This window comes from Homo sapiens, chromosome 15 (assembly GCF_000001405.40).
Source record: "Homo sapiens chromosome 15, GRCh38.p14 Primary Assembly".
Classification (NCBI taxonomy): domain Eukaryota; kingdom Metazoa; phylum Chordata; class Mammalia; order Primates; family Hominidae; genus Homo; species Homo sapiens.
The window spans coordinates 51,569,930-51,582,891 of NC_000015.10; the positions used below are offsets into that span (position 1 = coordinate 51,569,930).

The following is a 12,962-nucleotide window of genomic DNA, read 5'->3' on the forward strand; positions in this document are numbered from 1 at the left end:
TGGAGAATGACTTTGACAAACTGACAGAAGTAGGCTTCAGAAGGTGGGTAATAACAAACTCCTCCAAGCTAAAGAAGCATGTTCTAACCCAGTGCAAGGAAGCTAAGAACCTTGAAAAAAGGTTAGACAAATTGCTAATGAGAATAATCAGCTTAGAGAGGAACATAAATGACCTGATGGAGCGGACAAACACAGCACGAGAACTTCATGAAACATACACAAGTTATCAATAGCCGAACTGATCAAGCAGAAGAAAAGATATCAGAGACTAAAGATAAACTCAATGAAATAAAGCAAGAGGACAAGATTAGAGAAAAAAGAGTGAAACAAATGAACAAATCCTTCAAGAAATATGGGACTATGTGAAAAGACAAAATCTATGTTTGATTGGTATACCTGAAAGTGACGGGGAGAATGGAACCAAGTTGGAAAACACTCTTCAGGATATTATCCAGGAGAGTTTCCCCAACCTAGAAAGACAGGCCAAAATTCAAATTCAGGAAATACAGAGAACACCACAAAGATATTCCTCGAGAAGAGCAACCCCAAGACACATAATCATCAGATTAACCAAGGTTGAAATGAAGGAAAAAATGTTAAGGGCAGCCAGAGAGAAAGGTCGGGTTACCCACAAAGGGAAGCCCATCAGACTAACAGCAGATCTCTTGGAAGAAACCCTATAAGCCAGAAGACAGTGGGGGCCAATATTCAACATTCTTAAAGAGAATTTTCAACCCAGAATTTCATATCCAGCCAAACTAAGCTTCTTAGGCAAAGGAGAAATAAAATCCTTTACAGACAAGCAAATGCTGAGAGATTTTGTCACCACCAGGCCTTCCTTCCTTAGTGAAGGAAGCACTAAACATGGAAAGGAACAACTGGTACCAGCCACTGCAAAAACATACCAAATTGTAAAGACCATCAATGCTATGAAGAAACTGCATCAATTAACAGGCGAAATAACCAGCTAGCATCATAATGACAGGATTAAATTCACACATCACAATATTAACCTTAAATGTAAACAGGCTAAATGCCCCAATTAAAAGACACAGACTGGCAAACTGGATAAAGAGTCAAGACCCATCAGTGTGCTGTATTCAGGAGACCCATCTCACATGCAGACACACATACAGGCTGAAAATAAAGGGATAGAGGAAGATTTACCAAGAAAATGGAAAGCAAAAAAAAGCAGGGGTTGCAATCATAGTCTCTGATAAAACAGACTTTAAATCAACAAAGATCAAAAGAGACAAAGAAGGCCATTACATAATGGTAAAGGGATCAATTCAACGAGAAGAGCTAACTATCCTAAATATATATGCACCTAATACAGGAGCACCCAGATTCATAAAGCAAGTTCTTAAAGACCTACAAAGAGACTTAGACTCCCACACAGTAATAGTGGGAGACTTTAACACTCCACTGTCAATAATAGACACATCGACAAGACAGAAAATTAACAAGGATACCAGGGCTTGAACTCAGCTCTGCACCAAGCAGACATAATAGACATCTACAGAACTCACCACACCAAATCAACAGAGTATACATTCTTCTCAGCACCACATCACACTTATTCTAAAATTGACCACATAATTGGAAGTAAAACACTCCTCAGCAAATGCAAAAGAATGGAAATCATAACAAATAGTCTCTCAGACCACAGCGCAATCATATTAGAACTCAGAATTAAGAAATTCACTCAAAACCTCACAACTACGTGCAAACTGAACAACCTGCTCCTGAATGACTACTGGGTAAATAACAAAATGAAGGCAGAAATAAAAGATGTTCTCTGAAACCAATGAGAACAAAGACACAACATACCAGAATCTCTGGGACACATTCAAAGCAGTGTGTAGAGGGAAATTTATAGCACTAAATGCCCACAAGAGAAAGCAGGAAAGATCTAAAATTGACACCCTAACATCACAATTAAAAGAACTAGAGAAGCAAGAGCAAACATATTCAAAAGCTAGCAGAAGGCAAGAAATAACTAAGATCAGAGCAGAACTGAAGGAGATGGAAACATGAAAAACTCTTCAAAAAATCAATGAATCCAGGAACTGGTTTTTTGAAAAGATTAACAAAATACATAGACCACTAGCCAGACTAATAAAGAAAAAAAGAGAAGAATCAAATAGACACAATAGAAAATGATAAAGGGGATATCACCAATGATCCCACAGAAACACAAACTACCATCAGAGAATACAATAAACACCTCTACACACATAAACTAGAAAATCTAGAAGAAATGGATAAATTCCTGGACACATACACCCTCCCAATACTAAACCAGGAAGAAGTTGAATCCCTGAATAGACCAATAAGAGGTTCTGAAATTGAGGCAATAATTAATAGCCTACCAACCAAAAAAAGTCCAGGACCAGATGGATTCACAGCTGAATTCTACCAGAGGTACAAAAAGGAGCTGGTACCATTCCTTCTGAAACTATTCCAAACAATAAAAAAAGAGGGAATCCTCCCTAACTCATTTTATGAGGCCAGCATCATCCTGATACCAAAGCCTGGCAGAGACACAACCAAAAAAGAAAATTTTACACCAATATGGCTGATGAACATCAATGCAAAAATCCTCAATAAAATACTGGCAAACCAAATCCAGCAGCACATCAAAAAGCTTGTCCATCACCATCAAATCGGCTTCATCCCTGGGATAAGAAGCTGGTTCAACATACACAAATCAATAAATGTAATCCATCACATAAAGAGAACCGATGACAAAAACCACATGATTATCTCAATAGATGCAGAAAAGGCCTTTGACAAAATTCAACAGCCCTTCATGCTAAAAACTCTCAATAAACTAGGTAATGATGGAACGTATCTCAAAATAATAAGAGCTATTTATGACAAACCCACAGCCAATATCATACTAAATGGGCAAAAACTGGAAGCATTCCCTTTGCAAACCAGTACAAGACAAGGATGCCCTCTCTCAACACTCCTATTCAACACAGTACTGGAAGTTCTGGCCAGGGCAATCAGGCAAGAGAAAGAAATAAAGGGTATTCAATTAGGAAGAGAGGAAGTCAAATTATCTCTGTTTGCAGATGACATGATTGTATATTTAGAAAACCCCATTGTCTCAGCCCAAAATCTCCTTAAGCTGATAAGCAACAAACATATGAAAAAAAATGTTCGTCATCACTGGTCATTAGAGAAATGCAAATCAAAACCCCAATGAGATACCATCTCACATCAGTTAGAATGGTGATCATTAAAAAGCCAGGAAACAACAGATGCTGGAGAGGATGTGGAGAAATAGGAACGCTTTTACACTGTTGGTGGGAGTGTAAATTAGTTCAACCATTTGTGTAAGACAGTGTGGGAATTCCTCAAGGATCTAGAACCAGAAATACCATTTGACCCACCAATCCCATTACTGGGTATATACCCAAAGGATTATAAATCATTCTACTTTAAAGACACATGCACATGTATGTTTATTGTAGCACTGTTCACAACAGCAAAGACTTAGAACCAACCCAAATGCCCATCAATGATAGACTGGATAAAGAAAATGTGGCACATATACACCATGGAATACTACACAGCCATAAAAAAGGATGAGTTCATGTCCTTTGCAGGGACATGGAAGAAGCTGGAAACCATTATTCTCTGCAAACTAACACACAAACAGAAAACCAAACAATATGTCCTCACTCATCAGTGGGAGTTGAACAACGAGAACACATGGACACTGGGGGAAACATCACACACTGAGGCCTGTCAGGGGGTCGGGGGGCTAGGGGAGGGATAGCATTAGGAGAAATACCTAATGTAGATGATGGGTTGATGGGTGCAGCAAACCACCATGGCACGTGTATACCTATGTAACAAACCTACACGTTCTGCACGTGTGCCCCAGAACTTAAAGTATAATAAAAAATATATATATACATATGGGAAAAAATCATATTTTTCATAAGAATTTTATTTTTAATATAAAATAACTATTAAAAAATACATTTCAAAAGCATGCATCTTTGTCAGAAACTTTATAATCCAGTGAAAATAATATAAAATCTATGAGAAAAGCATCAACTAATAACAGGTCTTAAAAATATTTCAAATAAAATGGCCTAATTATACCATCAAACAGAAAATACCAATTGGGACACCATCTAGAGGAAGGAATACAAAAAACAGGCTAAGGAGAAGTCAGGGAGCCATAAACTGCACCTGGGGGAAAGAGCTGATGAAGACATCTCCAGAGGACTGAAGCAAGAAATTTAGGGACCAGGAGGATTTTGTTCCAGGTCACATACCTGGTAAGAAAAGACATAAATCCCTCTGTTCCCAGAAACTACCACAGCCTGTTTTCCAATAATTTCTTGAAGGCTATTTCTAAGTTCACTCTCCTCTTGGTAAGATGGAATTAACTACAGGGAATAGACCAAAAACCGTCCTTTCTGACACCTCTGCACCCTGGTTAACCTTTAAAACTCAATTAGGTATATATTCTTTTAAGGCCTGCCAAAAATATCCCCTGTGATTTTAAGGCACTGTTATACCAAAAAGTGATTTTAACTCTTATCCAACATCTAACATTCTTTCCAAGAAAAATCATAATCCACAACAGAAAGCTACTTCAAATGACACTTACGCAAAAAGTGTTGTGAATAATTCCATTCAACATGTCAATCAATGAATGAATGATTATAACAGACTAATACAAGGTCACCAATGTGAAAGTTATCACCACAAGGACTGGGGGATAAAAGGACTAAACGAAGATGTCAATAAAGACAATAAAGATATTATAATTTTGCCTTATTTACATTAAACCATCTCAAGAAAAGTAGAAACACAAGTTGCTCTGTTTCCCATGGTATGAATACCAATGTCTTATATACTTTTTTAAAAAGTTTTACTTCCAGAGAATGTGTGTTCATTGCGATTATCACCAGCACTTGAGTTATTTACTAAAATTCACCTCTGACAACTATCATACAACTTTAGGCAGGCTTAAGCTACCTTGCTTGGCCTAGAGAGAAGAGCAACAAAAAATTAAAAAGAGAAATCTGACACTCCCCATGTTTTCTAAACTAAGTGTAAGCAATGCTTGAGGGTGGGGAGTACCTGGGGGGAAAAATTAGAAAAGCAAGAAACAAGTACCAGGAAACACCAGGAAATCGTGTTTCAATACTAGGTCAAATGTATCACTGAACTGTCAAGTACTGGTACATTTACACAAATATTAAGGCTTGATATGGGCAGTAGGATAGGGCAGGATAAATGGTATGATAAAGTAACCATAATTTATCATTCAGTATAAATTTGTATGATTACTATTTATCACCATGAATATTCTGATTTAACATACTCTTGATCAAATTTGTTACCCAATAAATAACAATTTCTAGAACACTAAGATTGTTTAAACTGTTACAATGATTACAGGTAAAAACCTTATTACTCTATTCTCGTAGAGACATTCAACTCGGCTACATAATACTGGCCTTACTGAATTGCTGGAGTATACAGCAAACATCCTATATTTACTTGACATGCCACCAAAATTTGATGTACATTATGTTTGAAAATTGGGGGAGAGGTACATATGATGAAATTTTAACTATTTCAAAATAAAACCTCTGTTTTAAAGCCTGAATGAACCATAAGACTCTTCACTCAACAAAAAATCTTTCATTATGTTAACAGACTTTACAAAGCACTTCCTATATGACAAGCATGATATTAGATATTAACAACTTGCAGAGTTTCTTAATAAAACTTTGATGTTATAGTATGAGTGATATAAGGGGTGCTAGGTAGAGAAGAAAAAAGTTTACTTCCCCTTACTGGCTTAATGGCTGCTAGAAGTATTAACTGGCAGAATATCAGTATGCACAGGATTGTAAGGCCTACAGATCTTTGAAGACAGTATACATACAGCTGTAGAACAATTATCAAATTATCAGTTTAATGGCACTTTACAATTTGTATAAACCTATCACTTTGCAACTTCTGCTAATAATCACCCAAGCAATACATAAGAAATTATACGCAAGCTTTGCATAAAAGGATAAGAAGATTCTGAGATTATTAAACACATTTTTAAATGACATTCAGTAAAGAAATTAAATCCCTTACTCTTCCTTGTTGGTTAGAACACTCCACACAGCTGACTTGGATGTTTCCATGCTTAGCACCAGGAATGATCTGTACACATTCAAAGTCATTTGCCAAAATAACAATATCACAGCCTGATCCATATGCCTAAAAAAAAAAAAAAAAAAAAGTTTTACAATACATAAGATATGTAACTTTTGAAATCTTATTACATACTATTTTATCTTAGATTTTATTGCCATTATAAAGTATACCTTGGGACATTTTACAAAATAGTTAATATAATATCAATTTCTAAATAAGAACATTAAAAGTCACATTAAAAAATAAACTGATGACACTCCATGCATTATCATTCAACAACTGTTACTAATAGGAAAAGGGTTCTTCCAGTTCTTAGAACAGCCACTGTTCCTGCAGGTCATAAGTCATTCTGTTTAGACTTTCTCTCCAAAGTTCATCTCAGTAAACCCTAAAGTATAAAAGCTCCATCTAAAAATACTAAGCCACTGAAGACTGTAACTGTGTTCCCAGGGTTCAAACCAGGCTTAAGAAATATCAAGATAGAAATCAGGCATGCATTTTCCAACACAATTCCACATGCCTTAAAGAGCTAGTTAAATAAACATGAACAACAAAGGCAGAATTACATGCACTAAGGCAATGGCTAAACTTAAATGCATCAAGACTCAAATGAATCCACAACGCAGCCTGCCTCCAACATCCACCATCCATCCCCAACATCATCAGGCCTGAGGGAGAAAGGAAACCAACCCAAAGTTGTTTTACCAAAGGTAAAAAAGTCAAATAAAATAGAAAATGAATGAATTTATATAGAATATTGGGCAAATACCACTATATGATCTTGAAAATAGACTACAACACAGAATTAAATTGTTGGGAAAATTCCCATGTCCAACTCTAATGAGTAAAACCACACATTTCTTCCTATTGCAACACTTCTTGCTGTATGCTATTCCTGTTTTGCAACTTTGTGAATTTTATGACCTAAGGGTCAGAGAGTTGGGACATATTTCTTTTTCTTCCAAACTACTTATGATTAAATATTCAAAACAACCTAACAACCCAATTCTCAAAAGAAAAGCTCCATTAAAAGCAAGATAAACATAAAACTTATGAAATGGTATTTTTCCGCACTGTTTCCACACCCTTAAGCAGTGTGGTTACGACCTACAAAATAGAGATATCCAATAGCCAGGGCTGACATGTGATGACATCTGAATCAGTGACCCATGCCCTGAAGGGATCCATATAAGGCTGCTAATGAAAGAGGGAAATGAAGATAAAGACCAGACAGGAAGACATTAATTCTACTAAAACTTCCAATGTTACCAAAATCCTGCCATAACCACTATATAAAACATCTTCAACCCATGTGTTTATAAAAATCAAAAAGTTCACCAAAAGAAAAGCAAAGACAGAATTTCAAGCAAGAAAAATATGGAGAAAATCACTCACAGGAGGAAATGATCACTTACATTCTTATAGACAAGGCAGACTTGGTTATACCATGAATTCAGGAAAGCCAAACTGAAGGGGAATATTGAGTATATGCAGAAGAAATGTTTGGATCACCATGCTAATTTTTAAAGTATAGTATTAAAATAACAAAAATCATCTTACTCTTGAGGAACAATTTCAAAATTTCCAACGTGCCTTATATCATTATCTCAGCAAAGTGGATTCATGGAAAAAGCAGACTTTATCTAGTTTGAAATCACACACACAGTTTTCAGTTTTGGTTATGCCATGCTGTGCTATCTTAAGAAAGTTATTTAAGTTCCCTAAGCATTTCCTCATGGTAAAATGAAGCAAATAATACTTGTCTCTTAGGATACTTGTGAAAATTAAAATGGAAAATTTACACAGTCATTTAAGAAACAGAACAGTGCACCAAGTCTCAAGTCTGGGCTAGGGACTGAGAACACTAAAGTGCAAGACATGGTCCCAGTTACTCTAATGGGGAGATGACTAGGTAAATTACTAATTACAACTAAATGACAAACTGCCATGACAGAGACAGTCATAAAATAGTAGAAGACAGAAGAAGTACTCAACAAGTGTTGGATCACTCTCTCTTTATCTTTGCAACAAACCTGGAGGGTAGATACTATCACTGTATAAAGAAAAATTCAAGTGCATTAATTTGCCCAAGATTACTGTTACTAAATGCAAAGTGTTCAAACTCAGGTCCTTACAATTCTTACATTCTTTTCCCTACATTATATATCAAAAAGACATAAAATATTCCAGATAAATATTAGTACACTTTGTTTCTCTAAAGATGTGCCATCCCTAGCAACTAGTGCTACTTAAGATAAATTCACTCTTACGGCTCAGTCACTGAAAAGGCTTTTTACTCTTCCCTAGATAACCATAATTGCCTGATGTTTTCCAGAGAATGTGTACTATACTCCATTTTTCTGATCCGGCAATAGTTCAAATTGGATGCATCAAAATCACCTAGGAAACCTGTTAGAAACACAGACTGCTCAGTCCCACACCAGACTAAATTAAAATCTACATGGATAAAATAATTTGGCAATATCTATCAAAATCTTAAGTACAATATACCTTTTGATCAAATATTCCCTATTTTACCCTATAAGTATATATACAAAAGTTTGCCAAAATATATGTAGGACATTCAGAGCCTCAGTATTTATAGTAGCAAAAACTAAATATAATCATACCACTCATCAGTGAGGAGTAGTTAAATAAATTACTGAATTACACTGGAATACTACACAGCTACTAAAAGTTAAGAGGCTGGGTACAGTGGCTCATGCCTGTAATCCCAACACTTTGGAAGGCCAAGGCAGGAAGATCACTTGAGCCTAGGAGTTCGAGAATAGCCTGGGAAACACAGTGAGACTTCATCTCTACAGAACATCCAAAAATTAGTTGAGCGTGGTGTCACACGACTGCAGTCCCAGCTACTCGGGAAGCTGAGGTGGGAGAATCACTTAAGCCCGGGAAGTCAAGGCTGAAGTGAGCTATGATTGCACCACTGCACTCCAGCCTGGGTGACTAAGTGAGACCCTGTCTCAAGAAAAGGAAAAAAATGGAAAGTTTAAAGACCACTGGTTTAGAATGGTCTCAAACCCCCTACCAAACTAGTAATTCCCATCAAAATGGAACAACTTATGTCTGGTGCTAGTTTCCTGTTGAACCAGAGTTACGCAATGCCTACCATTTTATATAATAACCATGATTACTGCTAGAATGGAATCTCTTAAACTATTGCACACTAACAGCTTGAAAAAGTGCACAGGGGCATTTTCTAAAGAGTCTAATGCATAAATAATCCAAGGGTGGAAGAAAAAGGGACTCATATAATCAGTCAGTACTGAATCACATGCATTCTGTAATTGAGGGCCCATGAGATTTTAATGGTTTTAAGGCATGTTTAATGTCTGTCTGGTTCCCACTATACTGAATGGTTCATCAGAGCAAGGACCTTACCTTGTCCTTGTTTACCATTGTGGTCCCAACACCTAGCACATAAGCAGCTGTCAATAAATAGCTGTATAGTAAATAAATTATTAAAGTCTTCCTAACCGAATGTCTGGCTCCAGAAGTCTAAGTACCTAGAAACTTAGTCAAAGAACTTGGAGTTGAAACACTGACACTGCCTTGTTGCTAATAATTTGGCCAACCTATCCTCATAAGCTTAAGAAAAGAGGGAGAGATTCTGACTGATTTTCCAGCTAACAGTATCAATAAATGTAGAAGATCTACTAGAAGAGAATCTACCAAAGCCTTCCTTATAATTCACCATTTACTGAATACCTACTATGATCAAGCTGTTTTGCTAGGGTCTTTACAAAAATTATCATTATCTTCACAGGCCTGCTTTTGAAGACAGAGAAGCTGAGGCCCAGAAAGGGTAAGTAATTTGCCCTAGTTCACTGAATGAGGATTCATTTGCTTCACAGTAAAGTTCCTGCTCTTTCCATTGCATTGCCCTACCTCTATTCCATGAAGATCCTGTTGGTGCTAGAAGGAGTGTGTTCATTTTTGTAATCCCAATTAATTTACCACATCATGGAGCACAGAATAAGCATTCTGTAAAGACCAACAGTTTATACAAAATCTATAATTTACTCAAAAGATTCCCATTCTCTCAATTTTAGAGAGATCAAAAGTGATTTTGTTCCATTCTTTTTCAGAATCTAGTTTTACCAGAGGAAGAATTTATAGTGCAGGAGGAAAACAGGGTGTTCGTTAAGACTACAAGCAAATACTAAATTGACCCCAGAGAGTATGGATGTGGGCTCCTTTGTGTTAGATAAATGAAATACTTCTGACTAAGCTAAGTTAGTAAAGTTAGTAAACTAACCTCTTCACATGTGGGAGATAGGCCACAGGATTATTATAGGGAGGCAAGGAAAAGGACTGCAAGCCTTTTCTGGAGAAATGGAATCCCTTGACCGGATTATCCCTCCTTGGATTCTTTGTAGAGCTGACCTGTGCCAGAGCACAATATACGAGTGTACTGCTCTTCTAACAGTACTGACCTATAAAACACTTTATCTTGAAATCAAGGATATGGCTCAGCCCCTACACACAGAGAAGGCCCAAGAAAAGAGGAAGAGTCTTAGAAAAATTGCTTTCCTTCCATTCATGTGGGAGGATTTGTTTTATAAAAGGACTAAACTGTTTCTCTGATGATAAAGAATGATTAGCTGATATTAGTAATTCACAGCTCAGAGATAATTCTGTAGCATAAGCTGTTACATCCAAAAAAAACTTTAAAAATATTAACCCTCACTTGTTATAATCCTATTCTTATAGACCAAATCCATCCTATTAGGAAAGAGAAAAGTATTCTCTGCTTTGAACATTGAAACTAAAAGTTTTCAACCTGAAGTCTAATAGACATAAGTCATAGATGGCCTCAGTAGGTCTCTGAACTCCGAAAAATTGTATTTAAAGTTGTGCGAATGTGTTTCTTTTCTTTGCTGTGGTACTATTACCACAATAAAGATATTGCTGCTTTCTTTAGAGCAGGGGTCCCCAATTCCTACTACCAGTCCATGGCCTGTTAGGAACTGGGCCTCACAGCAGGAGGTGAGCAGTGAGTGAGTGAGCAATACTGCCTGAGCTCCACATCCTGCCAGATCAGCGGTGGCATTAGATTCTCATAGGAACTCAAGCCCTATTGTAAACTGCACATGCTAGGGATGTAGGCTGTATGCTCTTTATGAGAATCTAATGATAAACATAATGTGCTTGAATCATCCCAAAACCATCCCTCTCCTTCACCCCTCGCTGTAGAAAAACTGTCTTCCACAAAACCGGTCCTTGGTACCAAAAAGGTTGGAGACCGCTGCTCTAGAGGGTTTAATGTCCTAATGAACAATGCAAATTTTGAGATCACTGACAACCACTGACAGATGCGTCTAAATTTAAGAGACAAAAAAAGCACTGATAAGGGAGTATTAGGCATGTTGAGAGGTCTTTTAAAATGCAGTGTGAAGAGGCATAACACACTCATTCAGTCTTCTCTAACTTTAGTTTTATATATAATTGTCTTAACTACATTATTTTCAGAAAAGAAAACTAATACTCTAATCCCACAAACACTGTTCTAATTTCTCAAATTTCCTTTATGTCTCAGATAAATTGAAGTGGAGAGTAACAAAAGGAAAACTTTTAAAAAGCTTAAACAAACATGACCACATTTCCTATGAAACTATAGCATACAATAGATTAATTACATTAGCATTTACTATAGAATAGTTGGATGTTTTAACATCCCGGAAGTTACAGGGTCAAAGTTTGAGATCATTGACAACTACTGATAAGTGTCTAAACTTCAAAGACCAAAAAAAAGAAACAAAACCTGATAAATCAAGGTGTACTAAGCATGTTGAGAGGTTTAACAAAGTACTATAATCTTACCAAGAATACTATATCAAGAGTGTTACTATTAAACTCCCACCGCTCCCTGGGAGTGAGTTTTGATCAATGTAAATATGTCTACTTTTCTACTGAAGAAGGTACATTTTATTAAGAGTTAGAAAAATAATTACAAGAAGGAGGTACCATTTATTAAAAACCTACTGGGTGACAAGTATTATACTATTTTCATTCTATATTCCTAATCTTTCTTTCAAGACTGCCACAATCCTAGAAGTTGGTTATTAATCCCACCTTAATATTTTTGAAAAAGGAATTTCACAGGATTTAATCAAATTCCTATGTCACAAGGTAAATACATGACTATAATTCAAACTCAGCCCTCTTTACTGTTTTTTCCACTTTACTAATGACATTTTTCTATCGTTTCGTTTTCTGTTGCTCAAATTTTTTGCTCTTTATTAATTGCATTTAAATTCTTCACTTCTGCTGTGATCTTTGCTCATAAACAAAAAAACTAACAGGAAGGCAGGGTTGTCTGGGCTTTGATGGTTACTTGGCTGTACCAAGAGATCTTATAGAAAGTCTTAAGAGGCCAGTGTTGACATATGAAAAATCTTACAACCAAGAGGACAAAACACAGATTAACAAAGATTTCCCAGGAAAACACCCATTCCTTCTCTCCATTTTAGTCACCTAATTAAAACCCTAGCTCTTTATGATACTCTCAGAATTATTAATTTCTAAAAAGGACAAATAGGTTTCCTTAATACGTTCCTGATTAAGCAAGAAATTTCACAAGTCACATATACATTGAAATCATGTACAAGGTAAATAAGGCACATAAAATGTTTAATATTAATGTTTTCAGTAACAAGATTTTCTTTTTCATAGAGGAAATCACACATATATTAAATTTTAAAATTAAATAAGAAAATGAAGTCACCTTCTCATCCTTTTCACCCTTCTTA

The 12,962-nt window shown here is 36.2% G+C and overlaps 1 protein-coding gene across 22 annotated transcripts in view; it reads right to left on the reverse strand.

Moving 5' to 3' along the window:
* Positions 1-12,962, reverse strand: part of DMXL2 (Dmx like 2) — a 174,981-nt gene that overhangs the window by 122,139 nt on the left and 39,880 nt on the right. For 21 of the 22 annotated variants that reach the window (NR_165648.1, NR_165649.1, XR_007064435.1 and 18 more), the window contains exon 2: positions 6,127-6,252. Coding sequence is in view for 17 of the 22 variants with exons in the window: in NM_001378460.1 (NP_001365389.1) it covers positions 6,127-6,252 (126 nt within the window). In the remaining 5 variants the exon portion in view is untranslated. Of the gene's footprint in view, positions 1-6,126; positions 6,253-6,958; positions 6,997-12,962 lie in introns of those variants that run through there. The other variant, XM_047432316.1, reaches the window with a different exon arrangement.